At 47.6% G+C, this 10,978-nt stretch overlaps 1 long non-coding RNA gene across 1 annotated transcript; it reads left to right on the plus strand.

Annotated features, from left to right (window-relative positions):
* The first annotated feature begins 3,139 nt into the window (after positions 1 to 3,139).
* On the plus strand, positions 3,140 to 9,464 carry LOC100287792 (uncharacterized). The gene is made up of 4 exons (NR_040021.1): positions 3,140 to 3,316; positions 4,188 to 4,848; positions 5,146 to 5,256; positions 8,302 to 9,464. It is a non-coding gene; the product is annotated as an uncharacterized LOC100287792 (long non-coding RNA).
* Positions 9,465 to 10,978: the final 1,514 nt, after the last annotated feature.

Here is a 10,978-nt window from a genome sequence, read left to right on the forward strand (position 1 = left end):
AGGCCTGCCAGCCTGTCTGCCAGAGAAGTTCAGAGGGCTGTGGGAGGGGGCATTTCTCTAGAAGTCAAATGGGAACAGCAGGATGGGTGGATTGTGGGATTCGGAGAGGAGAATGAGTGAAAGGGAATTTTAGAGATGCAAGGAACTGGCGCAGCCTGTCTTAGGTTGGGTTCCCTGAAAAGCAGAGACTAAAACAAAGACTTGAGTACATGCTTGGGTACATATTTTATCTGGGAGATGCTCATAGGAAGTAGAAGCGAGGGAACCAAGAGAGCAAGACAAGGAAGGAGCTGGTTGCTGCAGTGGATAATTGGGATTTGATTGTGCAAATAGCCTCTGAGTATTATGCAGAAGTCATCTCAGAATTGTTCACCCAGAGGATAGAAGGCTGGGGCATTTATCCTCTAACTGCTATTCCCCCAAGGGATAAGCATTACCCGAGGTAGGTCATTAACTTTCCACACCTCTGAGCTGTGCCTATGGGTCACAGAACCAGGGACCAGGACTTCCAAGACAGCCTTGAGGCTGCAAAGCTGAGAGACTAGGCAGGCACTTGAGGTGGGAATCTGCCAGCATGCATGGGAGCTGTGTAGCCCAGCTGCAGTTGAGGTCAGAGGTGGGGCACAAGGCTGTAGCATGGTGGCACTCACAGCATCTACTGCACTCTACTATCCCTGCTGCACACAGCCTGAGTCCTCAAGCTCCATGGCCATTCTTTCCTTCCTTTATTCACTCAACAAACACTTCCCGAGCACCTACTCTGTGCCAAGAATTGTGCTAGGTGCCAGGAAGAGTGTGTGAGCAAGACAAACATGGCCCCTAACCACACGCTGCTTATATTCAAATTCAGAAGGCAGAAATAAATAAACGTAGGTGCAAATTAGTAAGATGCCTTCAGAGAGTGATAAGTGTTCTAAAAGAAAGAAACAGGGGTGATATGGTTTGGCTCTGTGTCCCCACCCAAATCTCACCTTGAATTGTAATAATCCCCACTTGTCAAGGATGGGACCAGGTGGAGGTAATTGAATCACGGGCGTGGTTTCCCCCATGCTCTTCTCATAATGAGTGAATCTCATGAGATCTGATGGTTTTATAAACGTCTGGCAATTTCCCTGCTTGCTCTCATTTTCTCCTTCCTGCCACCATGTGAAGGACATGTTTGCTTCCCCTTCTGCCATGATTGTAAGTTTCCTGAGACCTCCCCAGCCATGCTGAACTGTGAGTCAATTAAACATCTTTCCTTTATAAATTACTCAGTCTAGAATATGTCTTTTACTTTTGTTTTTGTTTGAGAAGGAGTTTCGCTCTGTCGCCCAGGCTGGAGTGCAATGGTGCGATCTCGGCTCACTGCAACCTCTGCCTCCTGGGTTCAAGCAATTCTCCTGCCTCAACCTCTTGAGTAGCTGGCATTACAGGCACGTGCCACCATACCCAACTAATTTTTGTATTTTTAGTAGAGACGGAGTTTCGCCATGTTGGTTAGGGTGGTCTCGAACTCCTGACCTTGTGATCCTCCCGCCTCGGCCTCCCAAAGTGCTGGGAATACAGGCATGAGCCATCACAACCAGCCTCGAATATGTCTTTATTAGCAGCATGACAGTGGACTAATACAAGGGAGATGGAATAGAAAGAAAACATAGGGAAAAGGAGGGGACCTGCTTTAGGCAGGGCCATCAGGGAGGGTCACTCTTGATAGGTGACCCCTGAGCACAGCCCAAATTGTTGAGAAGGAATATACACATCTTCTGCCACCAATGCCTTGTGACTCAGTGGTTCTGAAAATGTGAGGTTTCAGGGACTATACAATATAAAATTTTTTTTTGAGAACTAATATAGGGTTGCTAACTATTTTGCCAAATAAAAACAAAAAACAATTCAACTATGAATGGCCATTTACTATCTCCATGATTTCATAAATGAAAGGACATTTAAAACACTCCCAGAGTAGGAAGAACATGACCTCAGAATAAAGACAGTCTTTTAAGTGAAATAAATTTAGCTTTATTAAAAACCCTCTTCTTTTCTTCATTTTGTCCCCAAACTCTTGGAAATTTCTCTCCATCTCAAGGTCTACCTTGAGGGCTCAGGACACATTGTTATTCTCTTTGTTTTCTCAGCTTGGGGATTTTGGTAATGGGAGATAAAGTGTGAAATTGCATGTATATGCCCATGTCCATCAGTTTTTCCATTTGCAAAGTTGGGTAGTTGCTTGAATTATTTCTAAAGTATAAACTAGAAAGTCCAGAGATCTTAGCAATTCATTCATTTAACAGTCACAGAAACTGCATAGAATTCCTTTCTTCTCACCACCACCTTCTCTGCGGGGGAAACTCCTCTCCTACTCTCAAAACCCAGTTCAAATATCCTGTTCCTGGGCTTCTCTCTGCAATCAGTCAGCCATCCTCCCTGCAGAGAGTCTTGGCCTATATTGAGGACACAGCCCCTATCCATTGTGATAGGTGATTGTCTCTGGGTGGGGGAAATTGGTCCTGTGTCTCCCTTCCAGAAAATCTTTTCATTTCTCAGAACTCCTCAGTATAAATGTGGGTAACGCAGAAATGCAGGAAATAGAGATTTGTGAGCAGAAGAGAAGGGGAAGGGAAGTAGCATTTATTGAGTATCTGCAATGCACCTGTCAGGTGCTTCACGTGTGTATTATTTCATTGGAAGCTCTTACGTACTTTAATACAGTCCCTCCCACCATAACTACTGCTCCTTATCCCATTCCTACACACACACTGCTCTTTCCATCTGTGACACCTGTGCTCCTGCCATTTCTTCTGCCCAGGAAACCTCGCCTCCTAAGTCCTCCTGGATTCTTCCTGTGTGCTCTTGACTCCACGCCTGGGACCTGGCAGCCTGGGGGTTTGTCCGCCCTGTTTAGACGAAAATGGTCATTGCATCCAGGCCACATAGTTAGGGTCAGAGTTCAGGGAGACAGAAGCTCAAATGAAGAGGCTGCCTGGCCCTTTCTAGCCTGAAAACACTGAGATCCTTTAAACAAGAGACTCCCTCGATCCAAGACTCTAGAGTTGTTCGCAGTTTTGTGTTCATGGCTGGTCCTGGAATGCTGATTCTCACTTCCAAGATTCTAGAACTCTGAGATTCTACAAACAGTGGAGAGAGCCTCTGCTTCAGGACTTGAGCTGTCTCTGCTGCCTCTCCAGGGGCCACCTGGCCTCAGGACCCCAGGCAAGCACCGTGGGTTGGGAACCAACCTGGTGGAAAACTAAAATCAGCCCATCTTCAGGTCTACCGCGGCGGATGAAGCCTCACGCAGAACAGATACAGTTGCTTGGCAAGCAGGGGGCTGCAGGTGTGTGGAGGTGGAGAGGATGCCCCCTGAGAGACCTTCCTCTCCCCTCTGAGACTGGAGCTGCTGTGCCAGCCTGCAGGCCCTTTTCATGACAACAGTTGCTTAGCGCCTGCCAGTCCTCACACCAACTTCCCTCACCTGCCCCTCTTTCCTTTTTTCCTTTCCTCACTCAAGGAGCCAATTTTCACTCAGTAAACTTTCACCACTTCATCCTGCATGCCAAGTGCTGGGTTAAGCATTTGGCATCTATCACAGATTGGGCTCTCATAAGCCAAGATTGCGCCACTGCACTCCAGCCTGGGCGACAGAGTGAGACCCTGTGAGAGAGAGAGAGAGAGAGAGAGAGAGAGAGAGAGAGAGAGAGAATGGTCAGAGTCCTAATCCCAGGTACTTGTGAATGTGATCTTATTTGGAAATGGGGTCTTTAATGATGTGATTAAGTCGAGAATCTCAAGTTGAAATCATCCTGGATTTAGGATGAGCTCGCAATCCAATGACGGGTGTTCTTATCAGAGAAAGGAGAGAGAGTTGAGACACAGACACAGAGAAAGGCCATGTGAATATAGGGAGCAGAGGCTGAGACAGGAGAGATGTATCTGCAAGCCAGGGAACACCTAGGCTTGCCCACAGCCGCTGGAAGCTGGGAAAGAGGCATGAAACTGATTCTCCCTCAGGGCCTCCAGAAAACCAACCCTGCTGATCTCTTGATTTTAGACTTCTGGCCTGTAGAACTGTGAGAGAATACACGACTGTTGTCTTAGGCCCCCAAGTTTGTGGTAATTTGTGACTGCAGCCCTGGGAAACAAGTCCAGAGGCTTAGTGTATGCTGTTCCATTGCCTGGAACATGATGCTCTTCTCTTTCCCAAACAGTTTCTCAACTTTGCCCTTTGGTGCTTGTAAGTGGACATATCTGCAGAGAAGAAAGGAGACATTTTCAAAGAATTGCTCTTACTGCCTCCTCCTTGTCCTGTGGCTCTCAGCTCAAATGGCACCTCCTCCAAGAAGCCTTCCCTGATTTTCTACCCTTCTCTGTGCTCCCAGTTTCCTGGACTGCCCGTGCCACAGACGTGCTGGCACTGTCTGTTGACATGGCTTGCTCTCTACTTCCCCACTGGACTGGGCACTCTGCAAGGGCAAAGACTGTGTTTGGCCCCTCTTTGTGGCTGCAGCTGTGCCTTGCACAGGTTCAGGCACAGTACGGGTGTTCACTAATGTTTGCTGAATGAATCAATGAACAAATATTCCCTTCCAGTTCTGCTCCACCTCTGGACTCCTGCCCCACAGGGGAGAAACCCTTTTTGAAAGCACCTGTGACATAGTTCAAGATCACCAATGTCGGGCGAGGGTAGGACATGCACCCTGGAGTCCAGCCATACCTCAGCACAGCCCTCCTGCCCACATCGCCAAGGCCCTGTCAGAGGCATGACAAACAGCTTGGCTGATGGCTTATAATGTCAAAGATGATGGAAACAGGGAGGCGACGGCTGAAAGAATGGGTTGGGGACGCTTGTCATAACTTTATTTGTGGGAGGTGAGTTTCTGTCGGCTGGGTGATGGATGGTGGCAGGGCAGGCACAATACAGACCCTGCCACTGCCTCTCTCCCCTGTCTCTAAGCCAAATGACTTTGGGGATGAAAAATGACTTTCTTGGGAGAACCCGGGGGAGGGGAACTTCATTCAGGGTGAGGGGGCTGTCTGGTCAGCACCTTGGAGTGACTTTTGCTTTTTTTTTTTTTTTTTTTGCTGAGAGTTGACTTTTTTCTGGGACAGTCTGATCATTTCTTTCCTTCCTTCTTGCTTCCCTCTCTCCCTTGACAATAATCACAGACACACTGTCTACCTTGATTCTCCAAACTGCCCTAAAAAGAACATACATTTTTACAGAGGAGGAAACCGAAGCTTGAAGAGGAGAAATGACATATCCAAGTGCCCCATGAAGTAAGTGAAAGACCTGGGAGTTGAACCTGGGTCCAGTTGCTCTAAAGCCTGACCTCTCTCCACAATCAAGTGATAAAAAGGCCACAGGGCTGGGCATGGTGGCTCACGCCTGCAATCTGAGCACTTTGGGAGGCCAAGGCGGGCAGATCACCTGAGGTCAGAAGTTCGAGACCAGCCTGGCCAACATGGTGAAACCCCATCTCTACTAAAAATACAAAATTAGCCGGGCATGGTGGTGCACACCTGTAATCCTAGCTACTCGGGAGGCTGAGACAGGAGAATCACTTGAACCCGGGAGGCGGAGGTTGCAGTGAGCCGAGATCACACCATTGCACTCCAGCCTGGGCAAAAAGAGCGAAACTCTATCTCAAAAAAAAAAAAAAAAAAAAAAAAAAAAAAAAAAAAAAAAAAGAAAAGCCACAGAAGTAGCAGCATGTGCCATGTTCCCTGGAAGCACAGTGAAGACAGCAATTAATCCGACAGGAGGAAGTCAGGGAAGGCTGCCTGTCAGAGGTGACATTTCAGTTGGTCCTGAAAGGGGGAGTAAAATGTTAAATGATAGAAAAATAAGGCAACAATTTAGGAAGAGAGGGTTTTGGGAGTGAGAAGAGAAATAGAGAGGATTTGCATACATTTTTGTTTGCTTACCCAAAACCAGACACTGTCCCCTTTCTCCTTTCTATTTTTTTTTTCCTGTGTGTGACAGTGTGACAGTTTTGCTCTTGTCACCCACGCTGGAGTGCAATGGTGCAATCTCAGCTCACTGCAACCTCTGCCTCCTAGGCTCAAGTAATTCTCCTGCCTCAGCCTCCCAAGTAGCCGGGATTACAGGCGCCTGCCACCATACCTGGCTAATCTTTGCATTTTTAGTAGAGATGGGGTTTCACCATGTGGCCAGGCTGGTCTGGAACTCTTGTCCTCAGGCGATCTGCCCTCCTCAGCCTCTCAGAATGCTGGGATTACAGGCATGAGCCACTGCACTTGGCCTCTCCTTTCTAATAGAGCCACCATTTTGGGGGAGGTGGTAATCTATCCTTCTACAAAGAGCCATGGGCTTTACCAAGCCATTCATGAGGTTCTAATTCCCTTGTGAGTGGCTGGTTTGGAAACAGGAATGAGAACAATTCTGCTGAATGAAATAAGAGGAATGTTTGCTCAGGGGCTTCTGGAAAAGACTTTTTGTTTGTTTGTTTTCTTTTTTTTTAAACAGGATCTCACTCTGTCACCCAGTGCTGCAGAGGCACAATCACTGTTCACTGCAGCCTCAACTCCCGGATGCAGGTGATGCTCCCCCCTCAGCCTCCTGAGTAGCTGGGACTAAAGGTGTGCACCTCCACACCCAGCAAATTTATTGTATTTTTTTTTGTGGGGGGTGGGGTTTGTCATATTGCCCAGGCTGGTCTCAAAATCCTAGTCTGAAGCAATCTGCCTACCTCAGCCTCCCGAAGTGCTGGGATTACAGGCATGAGCAATTGTGCCCAGCTTTTTTGGTTTGTTTTCTGAAAGAGAAAGCCCCTCCTCTTTTGCAGGACATGGTCACATGCATGCACGATGCCTGGAAGTGTGGCAGCCGTCTTGTGACTACATGATGGAACTAATACATGGGTGATGACTCAGTGGGAAGATAGGAAGGACATCATTAAACCTCTGAATGAATGACTGCTACAGCCACCATACCACAGAACTTAATCTTTGAGTTGATACATTTTTCTCACTGTTAACCAGCTGGATTGGTGGTTTCATTTTTGCAGCCTAAAGTATTCTGGCTGATAGAAGAAATAAAGAGGGTGTCAAGCCTCCTAAAGGCCCCCACCTCTTAATACCATCACACTGGGGATAAGGTTTCAACATATGAATTTCAGGGGACACAAACATTTGGACCACAGCGGAGGGCATGTGTATCGGTCACATTGCCTTGGTCCGAAATCTGACTACACCTGGCTGTGTGACCCAGACAAGTTACTTAACTCCTCTGAGCCTTGGCTCCATCATCTGTAAAATGGAAATAGAGAGGATGTTAGGATTAAATAAGTGCTGAGAGTAGCACTAGCATGTGGAACAACCACAAAAAATTGAGATTTGAGGCCAGGCGTGGTGGCTCACACCTGTAATCCCAGCACTTTGGGAGGCCAAGGCAAGTGGATCACAAGTTCAGGAGTTCAAGGCCAGCATGGCCAAGATGGTGAAACCCCACCTCTACTATAAATACAAAAAATTAGGCGGGTATGGTGGCAGGCACCTGTAATCCCAGCTACTTGGGAGGCTGAGGCAGATAATTGCTTGAACCTGGGAGGCAGAGTTTGCAGTGAGCTGAGATCAGGCCACTGCACTCCAGCCTGGGTGACAGAGTGAGACTCCATCTCAAAAAAATAAAATAATAAAATAATTAATTAATTAATTAATTAAGATTCGAGTGTCTAAGGAGTTAGTCAAGGTCACAGAGTCAACCAGTGTGGTGGAAGCAGGCTGCATCTCAGGCCTGAGCTCAGAGCTGTGTGTGTAACCGTTGCATCCTCCTGCCTCTGGAAGGCAGATTCACGGAGCCAGCACCAAGGCCAGGGCCCAGAGCTCAGGGTTGGATTTCTGGTTGCTGAATTCATGCTGTACTCCCTGGCATTGGCTCAGCCAACTGTGGCTAAGAGTTGACTTTGCTTCCCTGCTCTGTGTACCTGTCTTCCACCCCCTCTCCTGAACAGTATTTCCCTGGGGCTCCCATTACCAATTTGCAGAGCAAAGGCATGCACAGGCAGTTCAGGGGTGGCGCAAGCTCAGCGACTCTGGTATTGTTTTTAATTCAATATTTTGTCCCTGTGCGCCAGCCTCCTTTATTGGATGAGAACACTGTTATTGGATCCTGCCCTGCAGGAGAAAATGCAGGCTTCCCCAGATGATGGCAGCTACGTTGTTCTAGAGTCTGATGAGTCAAGGCAGGGCGAGAAGACAGAAGAGAGTTCCAGAAAATCTGGTGGTTACAAGCTGTTCTGTGACACGCACAAAAAAATTAACATATGTATTATTGACCCTTCTTCTTCCCCTCTCTTCTAGGGAGGACAAAAGCCCAGGAGGCAGCTGTCGCATCATCCTCTTCCTTTCCCTGCACATCCGCTACATCCCTTGGTCCTACTGATTTCACCTGCCGTTTCCTCTATGTCCAACGTTACTCAGTCCAAGTCCCCAAGCATTTCCTGCCTCGACAGTTATTCTACCCCATCCTCCCCTGCTGCTCTCAAACTCCTCCTTCTTTTTTTTTTTTGAGACAGACTCTTGATGCCCAGGCTGGAGTGCAATGGCGTGATCTCAGCTCACTGCAACCTCCGCCTCCCAGGTTCAAGTGGTTCTCTTGCCTCAGCCTCCCAAGTAGCTGGGATTACAGCGTGCGCCACCACACCCAGCTAATTTTTGTATATTTAGTAGAGATAAAGGGTTTCACCATATTGGCCAGGCTGGTCTTCAACTCTTGACCTCAGGTGATGTGCCCGCCTTGGCCTCCCAAAGTGCTGGGATTACAGGCTTGAGCCACTGCGCCAGCAAACTCATTCTTCTTCTTACAGACTCTCTTATTTGAGTTCACCTAAAAGCCTGAGATAAGGAATTGGATGTACAGAATTTATTTGCATGGCCATCCCAGGAAACACTTGGAAGTAGGGGAGTGGGAAAGGAAGACAGGGAGGGGTAGGCAGCCAGGAAAAGGGTTATCGAGCAGGTTACACTGTGGATAACGGGGGCTTGATTCCACCAGACCTCTGGGAGCCCATGAATAACACCTCGGAGTTCTCCTGCCTGCGGAGTTGGGGAGCAGGGTATTTATCTACTAGGTCCTATGGGGGCAGGGGTGTTCATTCTCAGGCACCTCTGACCTGCTTCACAGGCGGGAAGAGTGTGCTCCAGAGTTGTTAAAGAAAGTCTTTAGGTAAAGAGACACAGTGGGCTGGGCACAGTGGCTCACGCCTGTAATCCCAACACTTTGGGAGGCCAAAGCAGGTGGATCACCTGAGGTCAGGAGTTCAAGACCAGCCTGACCAACATGGTGAAACCCCGTCTCTATTAAAAATACAAAAATCAGCTGGGAGTGGTGGTGGGTGCCTGTAATCCCAGCTCCTTGGGAGGCTAAGGCAGGAGAATCACCTGAACCAGGGAGGCAGAGGTTGCAGTGAGCCGAGATTGCGCCACTACACTCCAGCCTGGGTGACAGAGTAAGACTCTGTCTTAAAATAAAAAAAAAAAAAAAAAAAAAAAAAAAAGACGCAGTGCTGGCAATTGGAAGTCTGCCCAGTGCACACTTAATTGTGAGGGTCGGGGGTGTGGGCGACGAGGCGCTGGCAGCATCTCTTCTATTAGACACAGTCTTTGACTTAAAGCCCGCTGATGGCTTCCCTCTGCTCTTTGGAGTAAAGACTCAAGTTATTTGGGTGTTTGTTTTGTTTTGTTTTAGAGGAAGTTTCGCTCTTTCACCCAGGCTGGAGTGCAGTGGTGTGATCTTGGCTCACTGCAACTTCTGCCTCCCAGGTTCAAGCAATTCTCTCACCTCAGCGTCCTGAGTACAGGCGCATGCCACCACGCCCGGCTAATTTTTGTATGTTTAGTAGAGATGGGGTTTCGCCATGTTGGCCAGGCTGGTCTCGAACTCCTGACCTCAGGTGTTCCACCCGTCTCGGCCTCCCAAAGTGCTGGGATTACAAGCTTGAGCCACCGTGCCCAGCCTTTTTTTCTTTTTTGATATAGTGTCTCACTCTGTCATCCAGACTGGAGTGCAGTGGCTCAATGTCAGCTCGCTGCAACCTCTGCCTCCCGGGTTCAAGCGATTCTCCTGCCTCAGCCTCCTGAGTAGCTGGGACTATAGGCACCCGCCACCACACCCAGCTAATTTTTGTATTTTTAGTAGAGATGGGGTTTCACCATGTTGGCCAGGCTGGTCTTGAACTCCTGGCCTCAGGTGATCCACTGCCTCGGCCTCCCAGGTGCTTACAGGTGTGAGGCACTGAGCCTGACCAGCTTTTCTTTTTCTTATATATTGTTTTCATTTATGCCACCTTTTTGTGCTTTATGTATCTTTGTCAGCAATCTTAAATTCTTTCTGGAATAATGTGGTGGTATAAATAAAAACATACAACATAAATATAAATAAATATAAAATGTAACAAGCTCTATAAAAACCTGTTCCTAAAATATCAACAGTGCTTGTTTTTTTGCAGAAAGAAATAAGATGATTAGAGATGTGTTGGGGGGAAATGTGCATCCTGTGGGGGCTGATGTGTGTGATTTTACGAAACCCAAAGTGTAAGCATTACAGATCACTTTAAGAAATACCATGGAGATAAAAAAATTATTTTTTTCCTACTTCATTATTTATTTATTTATTTATCTTGAGGCAGGGTCTCACACCCATCAGTCAGGCTGGAGTGTAGTGGTGCGATCGCGGCTCACTGCAGCCTCAACTTCCTGGGCTCAGGTGATCCTCCCACCTTAGCCTCCCCAGTAGCTGGGACTACTGGTGCGTGCCATGATGCCTGGTTAATTTTTTCCATTTTTAGTAGAGACGGGGTTTTGCCATGTTGCCCAGCCTGGTGTGGAACTGCTGGGCTCAAGCAATCCACCCGCCTCGGCCTCCCAAAGTATTGGGATTACAGGCGTAAACTACCACATCTGGCCAAAAATTATTTTCATTATTTACTCTTTTATAGGTATAGATTTAATGTATTTCTTTTATTATTTATTTCTCTAA

Source organism: Homo sapiens, chromosome 20 (assembly GCF_000001405.40).
Source record: "Homo sapiens chromosome 20, GRCh38.p14 Primary Assembly".
NCBI lineage: Eukaryota > Metazoa > Chordata > Mammalia > Primates > Hominidae > Homo > Homo sapiens.